We start from the raw sequence: 27,810 nt of genomic DNA, 5'->3' as shown, positions 1-27,810 counted from the left end.
GCACAACACAAGGAGAAACTTGGTGTCCAGGGGAGGCCCCCGGCGGCTGGAGCGCGGCGGCAGCGGGCGCAGAGGCCGGAGGGAGAGGAGGCGAGGGGCGGCCCGAGCGCGGGGCGGGAGCGAGGCCAGCGGTCATGTGCCCGTGCCCCCTGCACCGCGGCCGCGGCCCCCCGGCCGTGTGCGCCTGCAGCGCGGGTCGCCTGGGGCTGCGCTCGTCCGCCGCGCAGCTCACCGCCGCCCGGCTCAAGGCGCTAGGCGACGAGCTGCACCAGCGCACCATGTGGCGGCGCCGCGCGCGGAGCCGGAGGGCGCCGGCGCCCGGCGCGCTCCCCACCTACTGGCCTTGGCTGTGCGCGGCCGCGCAGGTGGCGGCGCTGGCGGCCTGGCTGCTCGGCAGGCGGAACTTGTAGGAACGCGGGGCTTCTTGGTGGGGCCGGAGCCGAGACCCAGCCGGAGCGAGCAACAGGTACGCGAGCGAGCGAGCGAGAGCCGGGGCGCGGCAGCTGGGCACTGGAGACGCTGGGCTGGCCCGGGAGCGGGAGAGTGGCAAGTTTGGCTTTCTTCTTTTCCCTTCTCCTTCTTCCTCCGTTCTCTTCTCTTGCAAGCATCTCCACCTCTCCTCTTCTACCCAGTCCCCAGTCTTCCCTTCCAAGTGTAAGGTCCACCGTTTCTGCCCCCATCTCTGCGAGTCCTTAAGCGCATCTTGCTACTCACTTATAGCTCAGTGGCTTGCGGAGGACTTCAGCCTCCATAATCCCCACCAGCCCCACAAATAAACACACAATGCAAGTAAAAAGTGTGCTTGCTATGGGAATGTAGTTGTAAGCCACGCCAAATACTTAAAATCTATCGCACTTCCAAGAAAGGTCCCCGGTCCCGTTCCAATCCTCTTGCCGTTCCTGAGTCGCCCCCGTCTCCATCACCTTTGCTCCCAACCTCTTGTCCCTAAGTGTCACTTCTCCAATCTCTGATCCCCATTATCTGGCACCCCAAGCGCATCTCGAGACTTCCTCCCCCTCCAGGTTTCTGGCTGGCCCAATCTTTCTTCCCAAGCTCCGCGCATTTGCAATTTTCCTCTGCCCTGCCAACTTCGCTCCTTCTCGAGTGAGGTGTCCTGTTTAAGGAGTTTGGCTTCCTTCTCCCCAGACGGTTGTAGCTGCTACGGGAAGGAGACGCCCTCGGAGTGGGCTGGAATAGGGGGCTTTCAGGGAAACTCCAATGGGAAGCCTTAAGGAAGGAACATTTATTGAGCTCCTTCGGGGTGCTGGGCACTGTTTAGGGAGGTCATGTGTTGAGAACTTAGGACAGGAAGTGGGTACTGAGCACCTAGTGTGGTTGGTATCAGTGGGAGGAAGGTACTAGGCTCTTGGGGTGGGGGGATCATTGTGCCCTAGCTGTGCGCCTGGCACTGTGCTAGGCGCTTTGAGGAAGCACACAGCGTAAGCATCGTCTTACTACTCTGGATCCTGGAGTAGCGAGGAGCGCTGCAGAGAATGAGGGAGAGAGAATCAGGCTGAGCCCACCATAGATGGGTCTAGGGCCGGAAGGTGAAGCTCGAAGGTGACATAGCCAGCCGCCCTTAGGTCCCCGCCCCCGAGCCCCGCCGCGCGCCGCAGACACCCTGGGAAGTTGGAGCGGCGCCTGAAGGCGAGGCCCGAGCGTCTGCGCCCGCGGGGAAAGGCGGCAGCCGGAGCGTGGGGGGTGGCAGCGCCCAGGGAGCTGCGGGGGTGCGCGGGGTGTGAGCCGGGACCGCAGGCGACAGATGTCGCGTGGGCCCGCGCAGCCCGGGCGCTGGCGAAGAGAAATGCGCGCTTCGGGGCGCTCTCTGCCCGGCTCCCGGGCGCCGGGGGTCCCATCCACTTCTCCCTACCTTCTCTCTCTCCTGTTGGAGAGGCCAGGGGCTCCCGCGACTGAAAGGGGCCAGGCTGAGGCTGCCCAATCCCAGGGACAGGAAGAACATTTTGGATGGATCGCGGGGTGCAGAAAAAGGAAGTTGAGCGACAGACGCGAAGCCCAAAGCGTGGAATTTGGGAAGAGGCAGAAAAAAAGTGGGCGAAGAGGAAGAGAAAAAACAAGCGACGAGATGGGGAGGGACAAGAAGTTTGGGGAGGATAGAGAAAAAGAGAAACTGCCTGGAAAACAAGTTGCAAGACAATTGAAAAGTGAATGAGAAGGAAAGAGAGGAAGGTAGTAAAATCAAATAGAACTGTGGAGAGAGGGCTGGGACACGGCTTTCTCTGGTTCTGTCGTCCAGGAGATTGGAAACGCTCTCCCCTTCCGGCACCAGGCGTGCGGGATGTCGGGTGCCCCTCCCGGGAGGCCGAGGACTCCGGGCCGGAGCCTGACTGTGTGTTCCTGTTTGCCGGTGTGTGAGTGTCGGGGTGGGAATGCTCCCGGGGCCTGGAAGGGGAGGCTGCGGGCGGGGCGGGCAGATTGCGCCGCTCTGCGCCGGAGCGCAGGGGAGGAGTTGGGTAACTGGGGCCTGCGCTGCAGGGGAGGGCGGCGGCCAGGAGTTTCGCTGTTTTGAGTCGGTGTTGGGGGGCAGCAGCAGGTTATTGTCTCTGTGGAGTTTATTTCCCCCGCCCCGCCCTCGCCTTCTACCCCAGAGTTACTTCCGTGCTGCGCCCTGACTCGGAGACACCCTCTTCCCACACCTCTGGGTTCTTCTCCTACCTGCCTTGTCCCGCCCGGGCGTCCCCTGCAGCCACACCCTCCAGGGTTCTGCAGCCTCTGGCGCCCTGACCTCAGGATGCCCCGCTCGGCTTCCCAGCAGCACCGCCCCTCATACCCTCGGGACACCCGTAGAATTGCTCACCACCCGCCTTCCTGCGCTCCCAGGCCGGGTTCTCAGTGCTCGGGCTCCCTGCACTGGCCCTGATCAAGTTCTCTCCCTGCAGCCTACATCTGACCTCAGAATACCAGCCGCTCCGGCCTTTCTTGTGCTTTTGATTTAATTTGGGGAAACTCATTTTTTCCCAGCTCTGGTAAGTTAAGTAAAGGGGAAAGAAAAATCACCGGAGGAAGACAGTCTGTTGCGTTCTATGCTGGATATGGGGTGCTCTCCACCTTCCCTACCCTAAAAGAAAAAGGGGAATGTTCACAGCTGTACCTTAGGTGTTTGAGGGAGGCCTGTGCCAGCCATATAGGGTGGGAACTACCACTTTCAATTCCCATAGGTTTAAAGGGTGTGCTCCGCTATATGCAGAATCAATATTTTCAACATACAGGCCAGGCAGGTTGGCTCACGCCTGTAATTCCAGCACTTTGGGAGGCCAAGGCAGGTGGATCACCTGAGGTCAGGAGTTTGAGACCAGCATGGCCAACATGGTGAAACCCCATCTCTACTAAAAATACAAAAATTAGCTGAGCGTGGTGGTGCACACCTGTAATCCCAGCTACTCGGGAGGCTGAGGCAGGAGAATCGCTTGAACCTGGGAGGCGGAGGTTACAGTCAGCCAAGAAGAGCTGAGATCACACCACTGCACTCCAGCCTGGGCGACAGAGCGAGACTCCATCTCAATAATAATTTAAAACATATATGTGTATATACACATACATATATCCAGCATACTTGTTTTGAGTCTCTACTGCGAACCAGCAATACTTTTCTCAGAAGTCATCCTTTAAAAAAATAACAAACAGAAACAAAAACCCAAGACTAAGTTTTCCCATATGTAAAATGGGGGCAAAAAATGGGGGCCCACCAGCCAGACTTAGTGCATAGGCACGTTATTAAGGGGGTTAAATGAATTCATACACGGAAAGCTCTAGAACAGTGGATATACATGTGAGCCATCATGATTATTATTGTGCATTTACTATCATTCTTTCCCAAGGTAGTCAACATTTTACCATTATTATTGCTGGCCATTCCACACCACTCCTACCTGCCCTCCCGGGAAGTCAGTGCCAGAAGGGTCAGGAGAGAATAATGGTTAAGAGACTCTTAAGTGTCCAGCCATTTGCTGACAGCGTGACCTTGAGAAAGAACCATTACCTCTGCACCTTTATCTGTAAACTGGAGCTGTATCCTTCCAGGGTTATTGGGAGAATGATAAGAGAACATTCATTTAAAGTGTCCAGTGCAGGCCGGGCCAGTGGTTCAGTCCTGTAATCCCAGTTCTTTGGGAGGCCAAGGTGGGCGGATCACTTGAGCCCAGGAGTTCAAGACCAGCCTGGGCAACATGGTGAAACCTTGTCTGTACCAAAAAAAAAAAAAAAAAATTAGCTGGGCATGGTGGTGTGCACCTGTAGTCTCAGGTACTCAGGAGGCTGAGGTGGGAGGATCACTTGAGTCCCAGAGGCAGAGGTTGCAGTAAGCTGAGATCGCACTATTGCACTCCAGCCTAGGCGACAAAGTGAGACTCTTGTCTCAAAAAAGTCCAGTGCAGTGTCTGTCTCTTAACTTCACTCAACAGAGGATGTCATGAAATGGTCAGTGTCATTCCTTTTAATTCAAAGGGGAAGCCGAGGCAGAGAGCATCCACCTAAGTGATCCCCAGTGGAACTGCAGCTTCTGTCTTTGAGGGCACACAGCGCCCCCCACCCCATGACTTGCGGGGGAAGAGGAGATAGGGGCAGTAAGCAGACCGGGTTGGTGCACAGTGAATTCCTGTACAAGTGAAATTCCCTTTCTTCCAGAGCCCCAGGGGAGGCTCCTCTGAGGCTGGGGAGGCCTGGAGGAGGATGGGTATGATTTAACCAGTCAATACTCAAAGATACAGGAGAGAGGGAACAAAAGACGCTTTATGGTGAGTGCTGGCTGGCGGAGGCGTGGGAGGGAGGGAGGGAGAAGCGTGCCTGGGGAGGGGGCAGGGAGGGAGAGAGAATGGAGCCGAGGAATCTGCCTGGGAGTCGGGGCCAGGGCTGGGTAGAATCCTGCCTTGGGAGCAGGGGAAGGGGAGAGAGGGGGACTCCGCAGGCCCATAAGGCGACGTGGTCAGTGGCAAGGAAGATAATGGGCCAGCGGGAGCCTGCTTTAATGAATTAATGACAGCCTGGCCCACCAGCCAGACATGCTAACTGGTTCTTGGCAGGTACTTTGGGGATTAAGTGGTTAAACCTGGAGGCGCATCCCGCAGGCCTCCCTCCCAGCTCGCAGCACCCCTGCCAGAATTACTTTTAGAGCTTGAAAGCTTGGCCTTCTGTTTGGCGAGGGAGCCCGAGGAGGACAGCTGTTGGGGAGGAACCCCCCGGGAAGGGGCCAGATGTGCAGAACCAGGCAGCCTTCCTGCCACATGGTCTCTGTCTGGAGTCATCCGCTCGCATAGTGAGAGGCCAGAGTACAAGTGACTGAGCTGTGGATGGAAAAGAGCCACACCCGGGGATAATTAAATATACCCCCAGATGTGGGCTGGCTGGATTTGGCAATCATAACTCTAGAGTTTTTGAAAAGTCAGCCTTTTAGACAGGCAGATAACGAGAGGTGGGGAGGGGGCTTCCGTTTCTTGGTAGTCCTCACTAGTGTCCCTGTGATAGGATTTCACGGGAATAGAAAGCTAACCCACAGTGTCCCTAGTCCCTGGCAACTTGCTTGTCTCATAGTAGGTGTACAATAACTATGTGCTGTGTTAAATGAATCAGAAACTATGCAACATCAGCCGGGTATGCTGGCTCACACCTGTAATCCCAGCATTTTGAGAGGCTGAGGCGGGTGGATCACTTGAGGTCAGGAGTTCGAGACCTGCCTGGCCAATGTGGTGAAACCCCATCTCCACTAAAAATACAAAAATTAGCCAGGCATGATGGTGTGTGCCTGTAGTCCCAGCTACTTGGGAGGCTGAGGCAGGAGAATTGCATGAACCCAGGAGGCGGAGGTTGCAGTGAGCCGAGATCGCGCCACTGTACTCTAGCCTGGGCGACAGAATGAGTGAGACTCTGTTACAAAAAAATAAAAAATAAAAAAAGAAACTATGCAACATAGTCACTATTGTTTCCCAAATTCAGGTTCTTCCACTTATACAACTGCTAATTATTGAGTACCTTCTGTGTATAGGGCACTGTGGATACAGGAAGGACCAAGACATAAGAGTTCCCTGCTTTCATGGAGCCCACATTTTAGTGGGAAGAGACAGACAATAAGTAAATATTGTTCTTGTTACTACTTCTGTGTAACAAATTACTCCAAAACTACTAAGTTTTGCTTCAAACAACTAGAGCCATCCCTCTGTCTCTGGGCGGGAGTGGTTCCAGGATCCCACTTTGGATCCCAAAATCCAAGGATGCCAAGTCCTTGATATAAAATGGTGTAGTGTTTGCATATAACCCACACACTGTAGGCTTTAAATCATCTTTAGATTACTTATAATACCCAATACAATGTAAGTGCTATGTAACTAATTATACTGTATTGTTTTTATGTGTGTTTTTTATACTTGTGTTATTTTTAAATTTTTTTTTCCAATAGTTTTGATCTGAGGTTGGTTGAATCCATGGATGTGGAACTCACCTATATGGAAGGCTGACATATTTGACCATGCTCACACATTCTGTGGGTTAGGAATTTGGTCAGGGCATAGTGGGGGTGACTTGTCTCTGCTCCAGGATGGCTGGGGACTGGAGTCATGGGTGGGGAGGCAACCTTATTTACATGTCTGGCTGTTAATACTGGGAGTCAGCTGGGGCTGTCAATTGGAGCAGCTATACTCAGCCTCTTCGTGTGGCTTGGGCTTCCTCACAGCATGGCAGCCGGATTCTGACACAGTGACTGAGAGCTCCAAAAGCAAGTACCCCAGGGAACTAGGTGGAAGCTGCTTTGCTTTTTCTGTCCCAGCTTCCAAAGTCACTTGGGTCAGAAGCAAGTCACAAGCTGATACAGATTCAAGGTGGGGCGGAATTAGACTCCACCTCATGGGGGAGTGGTGAGGTTCTAGAATAGCATGTGGAATGGGAGATATTTTAGTGGCCACCTTTGGATTATGCAATCTAACACAGAGATAATTTTAGAAACTCCTCAGGGCTTTGAAGGTAATACACAAAGGTAACACAATAGAGAGTGCCCCAGGGACTCCTCACCTGTGGTGATGAGGGAAGGCAGGACACTTTGAAGAGGAACCAGGGGAATAGTGGACTTGAATGACAGAAAGGAGCCAGCTATATGAAGACATGCGAGAAAGGTGTTTTGGGAAGAGAGAGAGCTAAGTCCAGTGGCCCGGAGGTAAGACTGCATAGTACGTTTCAGGAAAGAAAAACAAGCAGTGTAGCTTGGTGCCAGGGCTGGGTGCCCAGATGCAGGGATGCAGAGATGAATGAGTCCCAGCCACAGCCCTCAGGTGACCCCAGACTCTTTCAGAGACAGGAGACCCAGGCTTTGCCCCTGCCCTCACCTCTTAGTAGAAATAAACCAGTTCACCTCCTGCCAAGGTCTGAGAGGTCCTGATCCCTGAACCAACTCACTCATGCCCACTCCCCTCAGTGCCAGGGGAACATTGTGGACATCGATTGGGTTTCCATCACCCTTAGAACTCTCACCATTCAACTCAGCACTGGCTCCCCTCTCCTTTCCTGCTCTAAACTGGTGCCCCTGCTGTTGGGTGGGGGATTTCTGATTTAGCCCACATCAATAAGTTGCATCCTTTTACGACTTCTGGTTGGCCAGGCAAGGAGAAAGCTCCTTCCTTTTCCTGTGGGGAGGCAACTGGCTTATCCAAGATGGCTGCTTTCCACAGAGCTTTCCCACACTGAACCTTTGCTCCATGGGCCAGAGACTTGGGCAGGGTGGAATTTAATTGCTCTGGGAAACTTGATATAATATTACTTTTTTAAAAAGTAGCTGGATGTGGTGGCTCATGCCTGTAATCCCAGCACTTGGGGAGGCTGAGGTGGGAAGATTGCTTGAGCCCTGGAACTTGAGACTAACCTGGGCAATATAGTGAGACCCCATCTCTACAAAAAATAAGAAATTAGTGAGGTATGGTGGTCTGCACCTGTGTTACCAACTACTCGGGAGGCTGAGTGAGGTAGGAGGATTGCTTGAGCCCAGGAGACTGAGGCTATAGTGAGCTATAATCGTACCACTGTACTACAGGCTGGGCAAGAGAATGAGACCCTGTCTCAGAAAAATAAATAACTTTTTCTTGATGACAAAAAATATGACAAGTTCATTGGCAACTATTTGGAAAATGCTGAATAAAAGAAAATTGTAGTCAGGCGTGGTGGCATGTGCCTGTAATCCCAGCTACTGGGGAGGCTGAGGCAGGATGATTGCTTGAGCCAGGACTTTGTGGCTGCAGTGAGCTATGATTGTGCCACTGCACTCTGTCCTGGGTGACATAATGAGACTCTGTCTCAAAACAAAACAAAACAAAACAAAACAAAAAAATGAAAAAGAAAATTGTAGTCTTGCCTCTGGAGAAAGGAGGTTCAGCTTTGAGCAGAAGGTCTGAGTAGCAGAAGATTGCAGTCCTTTCCCATGTAAAGACCAGACAGATTCTAAGCCTTTCTACCTTTCCATTGCATTAGATTTGACCCTTTAGTGATGTGATTTTCTTTCCTTCTTTCTGCCATTTCTCTTTCCTTTCTTTCTTCCTTTCTCTTTTTCTCTCTTTCTTTCCCTCCCTCCCTCCCTGCCTGCCTCCCTCCCTCCCTCTCTTCCTTCCTTCCTTCCGTCCCTCCTTCTTCCTGTCTCTCTCTGTTTCTGTCTCTGTCTCTCTCTCTCTTTGTTTTTTTGAGACGGGGTCTTACTCTGTCACCCAGGCTGGAGTGCAGTAGCAGGATCGTAGCTCACTGCAGCCTTAACCTCCTGGGCTCAAGCGACTCTCCCACCTCAGCCTTCTGAGTAGCTGAGACTACAGGTGCACGCCACCACACCTGGCTAATTTTTGTATTTTTTGTAGAGACAGGGTTTTGCTATGTTGCCCAGGCTGGTCTTGAACTCCTGAGCTCAAGACCTCCTGCCTTGGTTTTCCAAAGTGTTGGGATTATAGGTGTGCACCACCATTCCTGGCTGGATAGGTACTTTAAGACTTGGAATCACTATAAATATATTATCTGTAACCTGACCTTTTCCATATATCACAGGCATTTGTTCAACAGCTTAATATTTTTCTATGAGACACTTCTTTTTGTTTGTTTGTTTTGAGATGAAGTCTCACACTGTCGCCTGAGCTGGAGTGCAATGGCGCAATCTCTCTGCAACCTCCACCTCCCAGGTTCAAGAGATTCTCCTGCCTTAGCCTCCCGAGTAGCTGGGATTACAGGTGCCTGCCACCACACCTGGCTTAATTTTTGTATTTTTAGTAGAGACAGAGTTTCACTACATTGGCCATCCTGGTCTCGAACTCCTGACCTTGTGATCCACCTGCCTTGGCCTCCCAAAGTGCTGGGATTACAGGCGTGAGCCACCATGCTTAGAAGTTGGTTGGTATTGCTTTATTTGGTTAGTCCATCATTTACATTCCCCATCCATCATTGTGAAGTCACTTGAGCCCAGGAGTTCGAAGTTGTAGTGAGCTACAATTACACCACTGTACTCCAACCTGGGCAGACAACAGAGTGAGACCCCCATCTCAAAGAAAAAAAAAAAAGAACTAATTAAAACAAATTTTTTTAATGCTCACAGGTGAGAGGATTGCTTGAAGCCAGGAGTTCAATACTAGCCAGGGCAACAAAGTGAGACCCAATCTTTACTAAAAAAAGAAAAAAGAAAAATTAGCCAAGCATGGTGGCTTGCATCTGTAGTCCTGCTACTCGGGAGGCTGAGATGGGAGGATCGCTTGAGCCCAGGGAGGTTGAGGCTGCAGTGAGCTGTGATCACGCCACTGTACTCCAACCTGGGCGACAGAGCAAGACCCTGTCTCAAAAAAAAAAAAATAATAATAATACTTTTTTTTTTTTTTTTGGCTGGGCACGGTGGCTCACACCTATAATCCCAGCACTTTGGGAGGCCGAGGTGGGTGGATCATTTGAGGTCAGGAGTTCAAGACCAGCCTGACCAACATGGTGAAACCCATCTCTACTAAAAATAGAAACAAATTAGCCTGGTGTGGTGGCACATGCCTATAGTCCCAGCTACTTGGGAGGCTGAGGCAAGAGAATCGCTTGAATCTGGGAGGTGGAGGTTGCAGTGAGCCGAGATCGTGCCACTGAACTTCAGCCTGGGTGACAGAGAGAAACTCCATCTAAAAAAAAATGTTTTTAATGCTCTCAAATGTAACTTTGATATCAAAACATATTTAGCGTTCTTTTGGCTGGGTGTGGTGGCTCACACCTGTAATCCCAGCACTTTAGGGGGCCAAGGTGGGTAGAGCTCCTGAGGTCAGGAGTTTAAGACCAGCCTGGCCAACATGGTGAAACCTCGCTTCTACTAAAACAAAACAAAACAAAACAAAACAAAACAAAACAAAACAAAAACAAAAATTAGCTGGGCGTGGTGGCGCGTGCCTGTAATCCCAGCTACCTGGGAGGCTGAGGCAAGAGAATCGCTTGAACCCAGGAGGCAGAGGTTGCAGTGAGCCGAGATCATGCCATTGCACTCCAGCTTGAGCGACAGAGCGAGACTCTGTCTCAAATACAAACAAACAAAAAACATAGTTAGCATTCTTGTATTATAAAGGCTGTCTAGAGCATAAAATCATGTCAAGATCTGGAAACACTGCCGTTGGCTCCCATATCTCATTCATGTCATTGGCCTTTATTTATTTATTTGAGACAGGGTCTCTCTGTTGCCCAGGCTGCGGTGCAATGGCACAATCAGGGCTCACTGCAGCCTCGACCTGGGCTCAAGTGATTCTCCTACCTTTGCCTCTCCGGTAGCTGAGACTACTGGTGTGTGCCACTAATTTTTTACTTTTTTTTAGAGATGGGGTCTCGCTATGTTGCCCAGTCTGGTCTGGAACTCCTGGGCTCAAGCAGTCTTTCTGCCTTAGCCTTCCAAAGTGCTGAGATTCCAAGTGTGAGCCACTGTGCCCAGCCCATGTCACTGGCCTTTATATGTCAGGTGTCTGTTGGCTTTTGAGCTGGCTGTGACTGGCCTCAGCTGAATCTCTGTTGCCTTGCTGTGGACTGGTCTTCATGGACCACACCTCTAGCCAGTGTGGGAGTGTGGATGACGCCTAGCGTGCCTCTCCCCACTTCAGGGAAAGGTTCCAAGTCTCAGTAATGTCACTAATCTGGAAAGCTTCTCTGCCTGACTGTACCTATCATCCTGGGGGCAGGAATCATGTTCATCTAATATTCTTGGAGCTAGCACATGGTACTTAATAAGTCCTGTAAAATGCTAACACACTGATGCTGGAGAAACTAAGACAAAATGGCTTGCCTGGGTGGAGAGGGAGGTCTTCCAGGAGTGGGGATGTGTCTGAGTTACTGGAATGGATTCAAGAAGAGGTACCATTTTCTGTTTTGTGTGTGTGTGTGTGTGTTTTAGATGGAGTCTCACTCTGTTGCCCAGGCTGGAGTGCAGCGGCACGATCTTGGCTCACTGCAACCTCTGCCTCCCGGGTTCAAGCGATTCTTCCGCCTCAGCCTCCAGAGTAGCTGGGATTACAGGTGCCCACCACCACGCCCAGCTAATTTTTGTATTTTTAGTAGAGAAGGGGTTTACCATGTTGGCCAGTTTGGTGCTCTAACTCCTGACCTCAAGTGATCCAGATATGCCTGCCTTGGCCTCCCAGAGTGCTGAGATTACAGGTGTGAGCCACCACGCGTGGCCAAGGTCCATTTTTCAAAGATAGCTCAGACTTAGAATATGTGAGACTGTTGGCAGACCAAAAAGCCTAAGGCTTGATTCAGAAAATTTAACTCTGGTAACTGTGTATCTTCCTCACCAATACTTTATGCTGAGGCAGGGAAGCTTCATGGAAAGGGACATGAATTTTGGAGTCAGGCCGACTTTCACATCACTTTCTCCATCTCGCATTTGCCAGTTGTGTGACCTTAGGCCGATCCCATTACCTTCTGAGCCTTGGTTTCCTCATCTGTAAAATGGGAAGAATAATAGCATCTGTGCTGGAGGAGCACTATGTATAAAGCAGCTGGCGCAGATTCAGCCCCCTCTACATGTGAGTGGCTTGGAGAATAAATTCTGTTTTATCTCTGTAGTGAGCTCCTAGCATGCTATAATCTACTCCAGTGCAGTACAAGGATGTACTGGTGTTCAGAACATGGTGAGTGACAGCCTATGATATGTGTTGTTCTTATTTGGTGTAAAATTGAGTCCATAGGCTGGGTGTGGTGGCTCACACCTGTAATCCCAGCACTTTGGGGGACCGAGGTGGGTAGAGCACTTGAGATCAGGAGTTCAAGACCAGCCTGGCCAACATGGCGAAATCTCGCCTCTATTTTAAAAAAATATGTACAAAAATTAGCCAGGCATTGTGGCACACACCTGTAGTCCCAGCTACTCGGGAGGCTGAGGTGGGAGGATCGCTTGAGCCCAGGAGGTCAAGTCTGCAGTGAGCTATGATTGTGCCACTGCACTCCAGCCCAGACAACAGGCTGTTTTTAAAAACCCTGTCTTTAAAAAAAAAAAAAAACGAAGAAGAAGTTTAGTCCATGGGCCCATCTTTATAGTATGGCCCATCTTTATGGTAAGCCTTTTGCTTAAGGCAGTTGCTAATCTGCTTTAATCCTGCCTTCCCCAATCTGGGACTCACCAAGGGCCTACTTAGGCCACTCTGACAGGGCTGGGAGAACCACTAGATCAGGGCTTCCCAGCCCGGGCAACACTGGCCTTCAGGTCCCAGAAAGATGCAAACCGCCATGCCTATTTTGCCCATTACTGTATCCCAGCACCTGGCCATGGTGACATTCACTAACTGGTGAATGAATGAATGAATGTAGGGGAGGCCTCAGGAAATTTGTGAACACCCAGTAATCAAGCTAATAACATGGCTGATTTCATCCTCCTCTTCTACTTTCCCCTACTTGGGACAGAAAACATAGTTTGGATCCAATTCTCAAAAGATCTGTGAGCCAAAAGGGTCTGTGTTCTGGAAACATAGCCAGAGCCAGACACGACATTAGAGACATCTAACCCATCTCCGTCATTGTACAGATGGAGAACCTGGGGCCCAGAGATAGCTGCTGAGGGTTAAGATGAGGCGAGCTTAAATGCCAGGGGATAGTAGGAGTGTCTGAGTATCTCAGGCAGGGTGAAAATGGGTGGTCTTCTAGCTGAATTTGGCTTGCAGTTGAGTTCTGTTTGACCTGCGTGGTTTTCTCCCAACACTTAAAAGTCAGGCATTTTAGCCAGGCGTGGTGGCATGTTCCTGTAGTGCCCATTACTCAGGAAGCTGGGGCAGGAGGATCACTTGAGCCCAGCAGTTCGAGACCAGCCTGGGCAACAAAGTGAGATCCCATAAAAAAAAAAAAATCAGTCATTTTCAGGTAGAAGCCTGTATTTCCAATTTTTCTTGAAAAATGAAAAGATCTAACAATGTATTCTAACACATGTATTCCCATGTGGCAGAAACAGGCTGGAGATGAATGTCAGAAACCCCTTTAGAAAGCACAAAAACACTACAGTGTCCCCAGCCCCTCCTGGGTACCTTTAGTGGGTCCAGTGCATTTCAGTTCATGACCCCTGATTTCAGGGAGCCCCCTATGCTCTTCCCTTGATGCATAGACACCCACACACGCATCCTATTTTAAATACATGAGCTCATACTGTTCATGCTGTTTTGTAACCTGCTTTTTCCTCACTAAAAATAGGTGGTTGAGATCTTCCCATGTCAACACGCAAAGGTTTTCCTCATCCTTTTTAATGGCTGCATGATGTTCTGTTGCTTGGATGAACCAGGATTTCCTTATATGGTCACTTCCTTGGGAACATTTGCATTGTTTCCTGTTTTCTGGTAGGGTAAACAAGGTTGTTAGGCACTTTTTTTGTTGTTTTAGAAACAGGGTCTTTCTGTGTCACCCAGGCTGATGTGCAGTGGCATGATCATAGCCCACTATAACTTAAACTCCTGAGCTTATGTGATCTTCCTACCTCAGCCTCCTGAGTAGCTGGGACTATAGACATGCACCACCACAATTGGCTAATTAAAAATTTTTTGTGGCCGGGCGCAGTGGCTCAGGCCTGTAATCCCAGCACTTTGGGAGGCCAAGGCAGGTGGATCACCTGAGGTCAGGAGTTCGAGACCAGCCTGGCCAACATAGTGAAACCCCATCTCTACTAAAAATACAAAAAAAATAGCGGGGCATGGTGGTGCATGCCTGTAATCCCAGCTACTTGGGAGGCTGAGGCCGGAGAATAGCTTGAACCAAGGTGGCGGAGGTTGCAGTGAGCCAAGATTACGCTATTGCACTCCAGCCTGGGCAATAATTGCGAAACTCCATCTCAAAAAAAAAAAAAAAAGTTTTTTTTTGTATATGTGTAGATGGAGTCTCATTATGTGGCCCAGGCTGGTCTGGAACTCCTGGGCTCAAGTGATCCTCCCATTTTGGCCTCCCAAAGTGCTGGGATTACAGGTGTGAGCCACTGTGCCCGGCAGGGGACATTCATATTTGGACAACTTTGCAAACAAAAAGTGAAGTTCCTGAAAGTGAAATTGTTAGGTCAAAGAATGTGCATAGTATAACATGTGGGACATGGGACATGGGCAACATTATCTTACAGGCCACAGTTTGCCTTAAGAAGAGTCTGTATTTTTTGTTTGTTTGTTTTGGCGTTGATTCTGTGCTGAGCTGAGCTACTACCCAACTCTCACTGCTTACCCTTCTGAAAGTCAAGCGAGTTGGGCTTCCAAGGCCCACCTGCCGTAAGTTCCTAGTGGGTAGGAGCTCAGGTCTCTCTCCATAGACTTTAAGTAATCACTATCTAGTAGCTGATAGCATTGATAACTGTTCACTGATAGAAGAGAGCTGGGCCAAGGAGAGCAAATACTTCTTCCAGAGGCTGCCAAATGGCCTCTTCCTTCCTCACACATCACAACCTAGCCATCTTTTCAGCTTCCTTTCCACAGTCTCCTGTGCACTCAGCTTCCTACCTGGCCGACATGAACTATACAGATGGAGATTTAAGGGATAACATGGACCGGAGCAATCTTCTTTTCAAGAGGATTCTGCATGGAGAGCTTCTCCTCCAAGTCTTTTTTTTTTTTTTTTTTTGAGACAGGGTCTTGCTATATTGTCCAGGTTGGCCTCAAACTCCTGGGCTCAAGCAATCCTCCTGCCTCAGCCACCTGAGTAGCAGGGATTAGGGACACATGCCACCATGCCCAGTCCTTCCTTCAAGTCTTAGGGACTAGGATGATTGGTACCATTGAAACTCCTTGGTCAAAATCAACCTGCTGAAACCAAAGACAGAAGATGCGAGAAACTGCTTTTTTTTTTTTTTTTTTGAGATGGAATCTTGCTCTCTCTCCCAGGCTGGAGTGCAATGGTACCACCTCAGTTCACTGCAACCTCTGCCTCCCGGGTTTAAGTGATTCTCCTGTCTCAGCCTCCTGACTAGCTGGGATTACAGGTGTGCGCCACCGCACCTGGCTAATTTTTGTATTTTTAGTAGAGATGGGGTTTTACCATGTTGGCCAGGCTGGTCTCAAACTCCTGACCTCAAGTGATCCACCTGCCTCGGCCACCCAAATTGCTGGGATTACAGGCGTGAGCCACCACACCCAGCCTGTCATCTTTATTCGTTTGCCACTTATTTACTCTCCCTCAGTAGATAATGAATTGAGCGCCTAGTATACGCTGGGCGTTGTGCTGGGCTCTGGGAACCTAATGGTAGGAAAAGAACAAAAAAGAGACATGGCGTATACAAATGACCAGAAAATACTCTGGGAGGCTACACAACCAGCCGGTAATACTGGCTGCCTCTGGGAAAGGGAGTGGGGCTTAAGGGTTGGGTTGAAGGGGCTTTCCTTTTATTTTTATATTCTTCTTTGCTGTTTGAATTTGTAACTTATCACTTGTGCAAATAGCAAGGGCAAAAAAGGTATTTTTTAAATTTTATTTATTTATTTACTTATTGAGACAGGGTCTGGCTCTGTTGCCCAGGATGGAGTGCAGAGGCATGATCTCAGCTCACTGCAACCTCCACTTCCCGGGTTCTAGAGATTCTCGTGCCTCAGCCTCCTGAGTAGCGAAGATTACAGGTGTGCACCACCACACCTGGCTAATTTTTGTATGTTTAGTAGAGATGAGGTTTTGCCATGTTGCCCAGGCTGGTCTCGAACTTCTGGCCTCCTTGGCCTCCCAAAGTGCTGGAATTACAGGCAAGAGCCACCACACCCGGCCAAGGTTTTTTTTTAATTAAAAATTGGGGCCTCTTAGGAGGGAATCCAAGAGTCCTAATTCTTTGCTGACATCAGAAAAAGGGAATAAGCCTCTTGCCCCATCTAATGCTGCACTGGGGTTTACGGTTTTCAGCTTTCACCTTCCATACCCAAAGCGGCACAACATCACTGCAGCCCACGGAGGCAGGACCTTGTGGGTTCAAGTTCTCCCTCTCTGCCCGCCTCCCCCCTCACACGGTGGATGAAAAATGGAAACAGGGACATTTTTTCAAAGGTATTTCATGAATCACTTCAGCCACGAGTTTTGGCTGTGAGTTAGCATCTGAGAAAATTCTTTACGAGCCAAGTTTAAGGGAACACATCCCAAGGGTGGGGCAGTGGCTCACAGGGGTTGATGGACTTGATGTTTTAAAAATAGTTTTAAATTGCACGATTACTACTGCTGCTTGGAAAAAAGAAAGAAAGAAACCCTATATATATAAAATATAGCCCATAGCAGCCTCAAACTCCTGGGCTTATGCAATCCTCTCTCCTCAGTCTCCTGAAGTGCTGGGATTACAGGCGTGAGCCATAGCACCTGGCCTCAATTCCTACAACTTTCTGATACAGTTCCCTGCTCATCACGCTTCCCTGTTTGTGCCATGCTTATCACTGTCCTTGGTCTTGTTTGGGCCCTTCCCCCACCTAAGCCACGCTTCCTTTTTCCAAATATGGAAAAAATATGTGTGTGTGTTCTAGGTCCTGATCAAATCCTGGGTCCGCGCTGAAGCTTCCCTGGTAATTGTAACCCCATTCTGACTTCTAGGCTATTGGTTCACCTCCAGATATTGGTCATTTACAGTACTGGTCTCTGGCATGGCATATCCTTCCAGTAAGCCTGGAGGCAAATTTAAAGCAGGCACCTGGCCTTATCTGGTGCGGATAACCATGCTTAGCACGATGTCCACACACTCAATAGCATAATAGGTACTTAATAAGTGTTCCTGTCTCTCCTTCCATCCCACCTGTGCTTAAGGCAGCATAATTATTTTAGGCTAATGCTGCAGGGTTACACTGACTTTCATTCTGTAGGTTTATGGCTAGACACCAACAGAGATGTTTAGGGGTTACAAAAGCTGGTTTCATAAACTAAATTTAGAATGTATTTATCAATTGAGTTGATTGATGACTAATTCCATATTCTATGAAAATATATGGTGGCTACATAACAATGCAGAGTTCCTACTGTGTTTGTGCCCTCGTGAGATAGAAGGGGAATTGGCCTGGTGTGGTGGCGCACACCTGTAATCCTAGCACTTTGGGAGGCCAATGCGGGACGATTGCTTGAGGCCAGGAGTTTGAGACCAGCCTAGGCAACATAGAAAGACCCTGTCTCTAAAAGAAAAAATAAAAATAATAAATTAGCCAGATGTGGTGGTGCATGCCGATAGTCCCAGCTAGAGGCTGAGGTGGGAGGATCGCTTGAGCTCAGGAGGTCGAGGGTGCAGTGAGCTATGATGGCGCCACTGCACTCCTGCCTGGGTGGCAGAGCGAGACCCAGTTTCTTTAAAAAAAAAAAAAAAAGCAAAAGGTTTGAAGTCACTGATTTGGATCCTTGTGACTGTCAGCTGACATAGACTATGGGGTCCATGTGTTTATGACTCATATCTTTCATGCAGTCAGATGTATCCATTAGGGCCCGAGTAAGAGGCAGAAAGTGTTTCCAAACTCAGTAATCAGAGGAGAATTTAGGACAGCTTCAACAGCAAAGGCGTGGGCAGGGTTTGGGAAACCAGCGAGAGTGAATGCAGTACCCAGGCTTGGCCATAGAGGGGAGCTATTCCCACCCTGGCCTGAAGGTGCCAGGGTAAGGAATGGGACCTGGAGTCTCCAGGAGGGTGTCACTGTACCAGAGTCCAGACAGCGGCTGTGGCCAACCTCTGACCAGTGGGAGGGGAGCTGGGGAACAAACACCTGATCTTACTTTCCCATTAGTGCCTCCTGTTGGCCAAACCCAGAAGGAAGCCAGAAGTCAAGGGTACCAGCTGCTACAGTTCATGCAAGTCAACATCTCAGACTTTTTCAAACCCAGAAGCCATAAAGTGATCTCCCTTCCACTTTCTCTCCTATATCACTTGGTGTGTATTACCCACATGCTCGTTCATATGCCACCTGCTTTAGAATAACGGGTGATACGTTCTTATCTCCCCCGCTAACTTATAGCCACCTTATCTGTCCTTTTAAGTCTGGGCACGGTGGCTCATGCCTGTAATCACAGCACTTTGGGAGGCTGAGGTGGGTGGATCACTTGAAGATAGGAGTTCAAGACCAGTCTGGCCAACATGGCAAAACTCAGTCTCTACTAAAAATACAAAAATTTAGCCGGGCATGATGGCATGCACCTGTAGTCCCAGCTACTTGGGAGGCTGAGGCAGGAGGCAGAGGTTGCTTGAACCCAGGAGGCAGAGGTTGCAGTGAGCTGAGATCGTACCACTGCACTCCAGCCTGGGCAACAGAACGAGACCTTGTCTCAAAAACAAACAAACAAACAAACAAACAAACAAACAAACAAAAAACCCTACCTTTTTAAGGTGTACAAGTCAATGATGAGGAGTATACATAGAATTTTGCAGCCATCTTCACAGTCAACTTTGGAAAATTTTCGTTTCCCTGAAAGAAACCCCATGCGCATGAGTATCACTCCCCAATTCCTCCTATCCGCCCCGGCCCTAGGCAACCACCATTCTCCTTTCTGTCCCAGAAGATCTGCCTGTTGTGGACATTTCATATAAATGGAATCACACAATATGTGTCCTTTTGTGTCTGGCTTCTTTGACTTAGCATGATGCCTTCAAGGTTCATCCATCTTCACGTATCAATACTTCATTCCTTTTTGATGGCTGACTAATAGTCCATTGTATGGAAAGACCACATTTTGTTTATTCATCAGTTGATGGACATTTGGGTTGTTTCCGTATTTTGCTATTATGGATAATTCTGCCATGAGCATTTGTGCACACATTTTGTGCATTCTGTGGTGGATGCTCCTGGGTATGGGCTGTTTTTTCTGCCCTGCCTAGGATGCCTCATTTTCTTATCCTGGTTAGTTTCCTGGCACTCTTCAATAGTCAGCAGGGGCCTGCCACTCTCTCTGAGGAGTCTGCTTTGTCTCCCTTATGAGCTGCCTCCCCTGGGCTCCTATAGACCACGTTTCCCCAGACTGCATGTGCTCTTTACATGGGACTGTCATTATCCACTTCTTCCCATCTCCCTGTTGGTTCTGAGCCCCTCAAGGGGCAAGAATTACGTCATTGAACCTGTAGCCCCTAGTATGGCACTTGGCATACTTGGGAATAAGTGAATGGATGAATGAACGAACAAACAAACAAAAGAGAACAGAGACTGCCCTACAACTCTCTCTTGAATCTGGGTCTATGAAATGAATCGAGGAAGGTCCTGTTCTGAATTTGGAGAAGCAAAAAGTTCATGTGTCTCTAGATTCTTCTTTTTAAAAACATCTCTGAAGATGCCTATGTAAATATCTAGGTCTAAAAGCAGAGAGGGGAGTGTGTGTGCACGCACAAATGTCTATTTGGGGAAGGCTGCTACATAGACAGAGATTCTGGTAAGGGGAAGAGTGCCAAGACTAGCTTTTGAGGCATCCTTCCTCCAAAACCAGAGCTTTGCATCCAGTAGCTCTCCCCTCCCTCCTCCCCCTCCCGACATCCGGGGCTGAGCGTGCAGAGGCCCACTGCACTGACGTCACCCCCAGCAGCTGTCTGCACTGACCAAAATACCAATCTTTATTTCTGCAGGTTGGTGAAAACCCTGTGTCCTTGGAGAAAGCTGGTTCCCGTTTTCCAGAGGGGGAGCCCAGAGCTTGAAAGGCCGCGGTTGGCACTTCGAGAAGGAAGTGGAGAGTAAAGACAGCGCCTGGAGCGATCGTAGAAACACAGAATGGGACTGGGGAAGCCCTTTGGAAATCCAGCTGCAGAAACAGACACCCCAATGCTATTTACATACAGCTCTATATATATAAAAAAAGAAAATATGAATATTACGTATCAGTGCATGCCTTGTTGAGGACGTGGTTGCCTTCCTTTTCTGCACCTTGCGATGTGAACTTTGATATTCTGTAATGTCTGGGGCGCCAGAAGAGAGATGCCTGCTGTGTACTTAGAAACTATTTGCAAAGACTGGTGGGAATTAGCCCCAGCATCGGCCAACTGCCTGGGGATAGATGCTGGTGGAATAAGAGGTAACAGTGCAAAAGGCATGATAGAAAAAAAAAGTGAGGACTTGGGACCGATTGTGTAGGGGCAGTCTGGGATGCCTCCATTTCTTGACTCGTCCTAGCCTCTCCCTCTGTACTTACCTAGGTCGATCGCTAGATCCCACTGTCACGTCAAGAGAAATGGGATTTTTGTGTCTCTGGTGCTTCACTTAAAATTTTGCTGGTGCTAAGTGCGTTCCTGCTGGTGCTGCTGTGGTATTCTGTTGACAGACTTGGAAGGCCAGGGGACAAGAGAGATTTCTATTTTGCTGTTTCAGATTCTTTTTTTTTTTTTTTTAAGGGACAAGTTGCAAAAGTGCCACTTGAGAGTCTCTTCTCTTCTTCTACCTGGGGACGAATATCCAGAGGTGGTTTGGAGCAAACCTTGGGGTCTAGGAGGGAGGATGGCATTGAGAGGCTTGCTGGTTATGAGGCAGAAAGCTGACCTCATGCATGACTTGGTTGCTATCTCCCCCACCCCCACAAAAGTGTCCTCGGAGTTCAGCCCACAGCCTCCTCCACTCCCCAAGGGGATTTCAGGGTTTAGGTTTTATGGATTAAAGAGCCAAGAAATGGCTACATTCTGTTCAAAGATGATTTATAACCGGGGGATGTTGTGGGAGGGAGTGGGCCATTTAAATGAAATGCACCAGCATCTCACTGATTGACAGAGGTCTGATTTTTTTCCCCCCAAGGATAAGCTACTATTTTCAGAAGTTTCTAGAAGGGCTAAAAAAAGATGTGTGCTGGACGGAGACTTGGCTGCAAAGACTCTTCAGGGAGCAGTGATTATTTTTTGCTTTCATTTTCGAAAAATCCAACATAAGCAGGTATTCTTCCTCTGTGCAGGATACCACACACTGCCATTTTCAAAGCCGAGGTGGCGAGGTGTCAGGCTGCAGATTCGGACGGTCATTCTCCAAGGCTGGATTTGCAGGTCACCACCCGGTACCTATAGACAGAGGGTCCAGCAGGCTGGTTAGCAGACACCGCTCCAGTTCTAAGACGCCAGCAGTGGGATCCATGTTTAAGGTGGATGCGGCTGAAATGGGAATTATCCCCCCACAGGCTTTGCTGTACAGTTCTAAGAAGCCAGCAGTGGGATCCACATTTGTTAAGGTGGATGCGGCTGAAATGGGAATTATCCCTCCATAGGCTTTGCTGTAAATGACCAGGTCCTTTAGAATGTACAACCTCTCAGTGCTGCTGCAAGCTGGGAGCTGGATTTCTTTCTGTCTTCCTTTTAAAATCCGTTCCTTGTGTTTTCCTAAATAGCCCTTTAAAGAGAAATGCAACCCCAGGGCTGCTGAATGCCAGGGAAGACTCCCCCACCCCGCAGCTTTGAACTCAGCAAACCAAAAAAAAAAAAAGAAGAATAATGCTTATTTTGGGAGAACGTGTTTCTCCTCATTACTCGTGCCCTCCCCCTAGCTGATGTTTGCAGGGGACCCTCGCTTAGCTGGGGACTGCAGAGAGCAGTGGGTAATATTCCCACAAAGCTACGAACTTAGAGAAGGCAAATTCATTAGAATAATATGAAATACAGTCACTGCTTCTATTTAATCACTTTCTTAGCCACAGACTAGGGTCTTTCCAGCTCCCCCCATTTTCTGGGGAGGGGCGTCCATTACTACACAGCTGTATCCAATCACAGTTCTCTGCTTCTTTAAGGCTGTACCTTCAAGATCGTAGTGGGGGCATGCTGACCACCTGTAGACACAGGAGAAGATGAAAGGTGAGAGGATCCCTTTTTCAGCCCCGACTTGCCTACTGGCTTTTGATGTTTCCCCTGGAGGATACAAACTCCAAACGCTGGGGTTGGCATTTTGGGTGATTTTGATTTCAATGAAGCCACTTTGCTGAGAGAACTGGGGCACCCACGACCTCCTGATAGAGCTTCTCAGCCAAGTCCCTTGTAGATATTCTCCTGTTTTATTAGAGACCACGTATTTATCGAATCCTGACCTTTCCTTGCACATCATTCATTGGAGTGCACTTCTCGACTGCCCCGATTTTTGACACGGGGTTGTTTTTAATGCTTGTTTTTATATGAGATTTGACTTCTTGATGGACATTTGTATTAGGAAATTGAAGCATGATATATATGTATATATTGTCTCCACCATCTCTCCTGTTGTATTACTTGGATTGCATGAGATAGTGGGGTGGTTCTTGTTTTTTAAAAAATATTTCCACAGTGTGCAAAGTGCTGGCAACATCCCTCCCTCTCCTCCACCGCTCCCCCACTTTTCTCTGGCTGCCAAGGAGTCATTGATTTTGATTAGCTTCACTGCAGAGCGTCTGTGAAGAGAGAGAGAGAGAAAGGGAGGGAGGCTTTGAAATAAATTTTAAAAAAGACCTCATATCGGGTTTCAGCAGACAGCAGTGTGTGTGTGTGTGTGTGTGTGTGTGTGTGTGTGTGTGTGTGTGTGTGACCGTACAAGCAGAGGGAGGCCTCTGAGATCATCGTTTAGGTAGCTTGCTGCATAATGAGATGAAGAGACTTTTGCCTCTTCATTTCTGATGGTGCTGCTTGCTCTCAGAGAGTGGGGAGCCAGGAACCGCTGGGACTGGAGCCCCCGGGACTTCAACACTCCGAATGAGATCCAGTCCTTTCTGGAAGCTTCTCACCCCCACCTGATCTCCCACAAACAAATACAATCTCTTCAAATTTGGGGGTCCGTTTCCTATTCTCTTTGTTATTGGTGTAGCTTGAGTAGGAAGTTTCTCTGGGGAGCCCATTGGCCCCAATGGCTGCTGTCCATGGTCCTAGGCCGTGCGCATGTCCTAGACCCCAGTTCCTGTTTTGTTTTTTTTTGGGTTTTTTTTGGCCCTGCGCATCTCTTAGAGCCCAGTTCCTGTTTTTTTGTTCGTTTTTTTTTTTTTTTTTTAGCCGCCTTCATTTGGATACTGGGGACTTCTTTTCCACTTCTTCTTCTTCTTCTATTTTATTTTGAGACAGAGTCTCACTCTGTCACCCAGGCTGGAGTGCAGTGGTGCGAGCTCAGCTCACTGCAACCTCCACCTCCCAGGTTCAAGCGATTCTCCTGCCTCAGCCTCCTGAGTAGCTGGGATTACAGGCACCCACCACCACGCTCGGCTAATTTTTGTATTTTTAGTGGAGATGGGGTTTTACCATGTTGGCCAGAGTGGTTTTGAACTCCTGGCCTCAAGTGATCCACCTGCCTTGGCCTCCCAAAGTGCTGGGATTACAGGCATGAGCCACCGAGCTCAGCCTCCACTTCTTATTTTGATTCTTTTCTGTTTTGATGGTGAGAGGAAAGGGTGATTTACCCAATACTGTCACAGAAAAATGAAACTGTGACTGGTTTTCACAATGTATGTAGCTGATCTCATGTTCTCCTATTATTATGTTTCTGACAGTGATAAAATATCACTCTCCCTCCCTGGGGCATTAGAGGAGTCCTCACCCACCCACCTCCTACACAAGTATCTTTTAGGGACAGTGGCTCACCATTGTGGACTTTTTGAGTGTCCACCTGATATTACAAGTTGCATTGACCAGAACACAGATTTTGCTCTTCTGTGTCAATACCCATTTCTTTTCTGAAGGTCAGAAGTTGGTTAAGGGTTTGGGGGACCAGCTAGACACTCTTCTTAGTCCCATGGAGCTGACTGGAAGTTCCATGAGGGGAGGAAATTGATGTCAAAGTGTCATTTTAAAGCTTAAGCTGAAAGTTTATTTTTTAAATTCTCATTCATTCATTTAGCATATATTGATTGAGCATCTACAATGTGCCAGTTGTAGAATTCCATCTCAGAAGAGACTTGACTTGTGGATGGTGGAGGGGCAGTCCTGCTCGGAAGCAGATGATGTGAAATGTTCCTTTCCAGTCTGGTTCACGATGTTTAACAGATTTGTCAGGTCACCACTGTGACCCCAAGCTTTGCTGGCAGATTGTTATATAGTATTTACTGAGAGCCCTGCTATCTGGTAAAGGCAGTTAAAAAGCCTGCAATCTCGACTCATTTCCAGCATGAACAGACTGGTCCTTGCTGCTTTACACAATAATCAAAGCTACCTTTTATGGCGTGCTCGCCACTCCCAAGCACTGGGCGAAGTGCTTTACCCGTCTTCCCCTCCGCGATGCCTCATGCCCACTTTAGCAGATAGTACTGTTAGCATTCCCATTTTACAGTGGAGGAAGCTGAGGCTCAGAGAGGTTAAGCAACTTAGCTGAAGGCCACACCACCAGCGAAGTGCCTGAGCCAAGATTTGGACTCGAGTCCATGGGACCCCCACGCTCGTGAGCTGACTGCTCTGCTCCACTGGGTCCCTTCATGAGGTCGTCCCACAGCACTGCTAGTTCCAGGGCGAGTGCCAGCACATGGCCCCACTGGGAGCCGGGGCCTGACTTAGGTCTACTGGAAAAAGTGTCACCTTTGGGGACACTCAAGGACAGGCTGGTTGGTTTCGTTGTGGATTTTATATACTCATGCCCTAACCCTGTGTTCCTGGTTTCTATAAGGCCCCGGGGAAGGTGCAAGGAATTTGCAAATAGGGCCTGTATGACTTATTTCCTAGGACACGGGAAGCTTTTCTTACCTCCTTTCTACCCTCTTCTCCAACCTGAACTCCCAAGTTTCTTCTCCTGAAGGTCTTTGCACTATAAGCGCCAAGGAGCCCGTGTGCGTGGCAGGGGCGGCTGGGAGGGTATCTGGAGAACCTTAGTGAGGCCTCTGGCCTAGCCAGAGAGGCAATAAGCTTGGGGACGTTCCGTTCTGGGTTCTGACGTTGTTGGTTCTGACGTCGTTGTGCTCTTTTGTAAGAGGAATTTCATACCTTGGAGACGCTTTGTACATATTTGTAATGACTTTATTAAAAAACTGATTGTGCACTTCTAGCCAAAGACATTTGTGTTTTCATTTCCTTTTGGAAGGCTGGCCCTCATAGACTCTGGGAGTACCCAGCTGCATAACAGGGACAGGATCCCTGCCCCTGGCTCCTGCCTGCCCCAATGTTCCCTTGGGCAGAAGGCCAGACACTTCCTTCTCTCCTCTAATTCCTAAGATCCACCGCCCCGCCCAAACCCTGAAGGGAAGGACTGGCCTAAAGAATGCCCTTGGGTTGGGCCACAGGTTTGGGAAACTTGCCCAACAGTTCGAGGTGAGTGCACACAACCATAATTTATGCATGGTATCCTGTGGACAAGCCAATGAGGCTGCAGATTAATGTCTCCAACTGCGGACAACTCGGGTTCTAGTCTCATCCTAAGAATGGGAGTTTGAGTACACATACCTTTTTTTTTGGAGACAGAGTTTCTCCCTTGTTGCCCAGGTTGGAGTGCAGTGGCACGATATTGGTTCACTGCAACCTCTGCTTCCTGGGTTCAAGCTGTTCTCCTGCCTCAGCCTCCTGAGTAGCTGGGATTACAAGCGTGTGTCACCACGTCTGGCTAACTTTTGTATTTTTAGTAAAGACGGGGTTTCACCATGTTGGCCAGACTGGTCTCGAACTCCTGACCTCGGGTGATCCACCTGCCTCGGCCTCCCAAAGTGTTGGGATTACAGGCGTGAGCCACCGCGCCTGGCCCAGGTTGTTTTTTTAGATACCAGACCTTCTCTTTTCCTTTGAACACCCATCCCTGCCCCACTTTCAGTCTACATGACTTAGAGGGGCCGACTCCATCCTCTCACTACCTCAAGAGCTCAACAGCTGGCCCAGGCCTGGCCAGTGCTCCACATCTCACCAGCTAAAGTAATTGGTTTGGGACAAACAAATGAGAGTCAGTCTTAGGACTTTTGGTGGAGCTTTCGGGATGCAGGGGTTGTTAAGCTGCTAGAACATAAACGCAGAACTGCTGCGGGCCATCTTACCACCACATGGGTCCAGCTGCCTGAAAATCAAACTGTCTCAGAGGAAAACAGAATTGAGGGATGGCCAAGACACAATTCTCTCTCTCTCTCTCTCTTTTTTTTTTTTTTTTTACAGAGATAGGGTCTCACTCTGTCACCCAGGCTGGAATGCAGTGGTGCTATCTCAGCTCACTGCAACCTCTGCCTCCAGGTTTAAGCGATTCCTGTGCTTCAGCCTCCTGAGTAGCTGGGATTACAGGTGTGGGCCACCACGCCTGGCTAGTTGTTGTGTGTGTGTGTGTGTGTGTGTGTGTGTGTGTGTGTGTGTGTGTGTGTGTGTGTGTTTAGTAGAGAGGGGATCAGGCTGGTCTCCAACTCCTGACCTCAAGTGATCTGCCTGCTTCAGCCTCCCAAAGTGCTGGGATTACAGGCGTGAGCCACTGCGCCTGACCGAGAGACACAATTCTATATCAACACTGGGAGTCTCTGAATCCAGCTGTGCCTGAAGCCCATACAGTTACGTAAACCAAATAAAGTCTTTATTTTACTTAAGCCATATTTGAATTGGTTTTCTTTTTTTTTTTCTTTTTTGAGACAGGGTCTAGCTCTGTTGCCCAGGCTGGAGTGCAGTGGTGTGATCACGGCTCACTGCAGCCTCCACCTCCTGGGCTCAAGCGATCCTCCCACCTCGGAGTAGCTGGGACCACAGGCGCATATCACCATGCCTGGCTAATTTTTTAATTTTTTTTGTAGAGATGGGGGTCTCGCTATGTTGCCCAGGCTGTCCTCAAATTCCTGGGCTCAAGCGATCCTCCCACTTTGGCCTTCCAAAATGCTGTGATTACAGGAGTGAGCCACCACGCCCAGCCTTGATGGCAACCCAAAAGTTTGGCCTGATGCGATGTTTTCATGGCTGGTGTCATAATGTTGCCCTGAGAGGCATGTACTGTCACCTCGTGCTATTAATCTACATTTAAATATCTATCATAATCTGGCGCCCTGGAAAACCCTTCTTGAATCAGCCTATACATTTTTGGTCCGCAAAACCTCCAGTTAGCCCCTGTAGTGGGCACTGTAAGTGCCCCACAGAGGCCCTTTCTGATCCCTTTTGCCAGATTCCTATCCTGCACTTTCGTGTGCTTTGCTGGTATCTGGGGCCTTCAGAGGCTTCCCCTTGGAGCCTCTTAGGGGAGAGTCTGAAGTGCAGGAAGTCCCCCCATCAGCCCAGTGCCAAGTATCAATTGGTGTGTATTTTGTGGGATGGGACAAACTCTGAGATGAAACTTATGCTCCTGAGCTCCCTGGGGGATCCGGCTAAGACTGAGAGTTCGCCAGAGCTTGGCTTCTTTCCCTTCCCTGTTCTATTTCACTCATGATTCCCTTACTGGTTTCTCGTGGGAGCACTGCTGTAATAAATCACATGCACCTGAACAGGATCTGCTTTAGGAGAAACCAACATAAGACAACCACCCACTCCGCGAAGGGCTTCTTCTCCTTTGATCTAAGACAGTTGCACTTGGCTTCAAGAGGTGAAAGGAAAATCAAGACCACAAACACAAG

At 49.1% G+C, this 27,810-nt stretch overlaps 1 protein-coding gene across 2 annotated transcripts, besides 4 other annotated features; it reads left to right on the top strand.

Moving 5' to 3' along the window:
- Positions 1 to 25,298, top strand: HRK (harakiri, BCL2 interacting protein). 2 transcript variants are annotated; one of them, NR_073189.3, is made up of 5 exons: positions 1 to 466; positions 2,898 to 2,984; positions 4,642 to 4,751; positions 13,651 to 13,793; positions 19,976 to 25,298. NR_073189.3 is itself a non-coding variant. In NM_003806.4 (2 exons), the coding sequence occupies exon 1, from the start codon at positions 135 to 137 to the stop codon at positions 408 to 410; it is 276 nt and encodes a 91-aa protein (NP_003797.1). In that variant the 5' UTR covers positions 1 to 134; the 3' UTR covers positions 411 to 466; positions 19,976 to 25,298. The 2 variants fall into 2 exon arrangements, 1 of the variants encoding a protein (NP_003797.1); NM_003806.4 differs by lacking the exons at positions 2,898 to 2,984; positions 4,642 to 4,751; positions 13,651 to 13,793.
- Positions 314 to 393: a silencer, noted in NCBI's record as "silent region_4907". NCBI's record gives its function as "represses an Ori minimal core promoter by ATAC-STARR-seq in GM12878 lymphoblastoid cells {active_cell/tissue: GM12878}" and the evidence as "EXISTENCE:reporter gene assay evidence [ECO:0000049][PMID:35858748]".
- Positions 1,272 to 1,472: a silencer, noted in NCBI's record as "peak1984 fragment used in MPRA reporter construct". NCBI's record gives its function as "represses an SCP1 promoter by STARR-seq MPRAs in K562 erythroleukemia cells {active_cell/tissue: K562}" and the evidence as "EXISTENCE:reporter gene assay evidence [ECO:0000049][PMID:32103011]".
- Positions 7,231 to 7,440: a silencer, noted in NCBI's record as "fragment chr12:117311807-117312016 (GRCh37/hg19 assembly coordinates)". NCBI's record gives its function as "represses an EF-1alpha promoter that drives an FKBP-Casp9 reporter gene in an ReSE screen in HepG2 liver carcinoma cells {active_cell/tissue: HepG2}" and the evidence as "EXISTENCE:reporter gene assay evidence [ECO:0000049][PMID:32094911]".
- Positions 17,664 to 17,958: an enhancer, noted in NCBI's record as "tiled region #3661; HepG2 Activating DNase matched - State 13:Ctcf, and K562 Activating non-DNase unmatched - State 13:Ctcf". NCBI's record gives its function as "activates a minimal TATA promoter and a strong SV40 promoter by Sharpr-MPRA in HepG2 and K562 cells {active_cell/tissue: HepG2 | K562}" and the evidence as "EXISTENCE:reporter gene assay evidence [ECO:0000049][PMID:27701403]".
- Positions 25,299 to 27,810: the final 2,512 nt, after the last annotated feature.

The sequence above is a fragment of the Homo sapiens genome, chromosome 12, assembly GCF_000001405.40.
Source record: "Homo sapiens chromosome 12, GRCh38.p14 Primary Assembly".
In the NCBI taxonomy this organism is placed as follows: Eukaryota; Metazoa; Chordata; class Mammalia; order Primates; family Hominidae; genus Homo; species Homo sapiens.
This window is presented reverse-complemented; position numbering and strand designations above follow the sequence as displayed.

Coding starts and splice junctions, on each gene's coding strand:
- HRK (NM_003806.4), top strand. CDS start 135: ATGTGCCCGTGCCCCCTGCACCGCGGCCGCGGCCCCCCGGCCGTGTGC.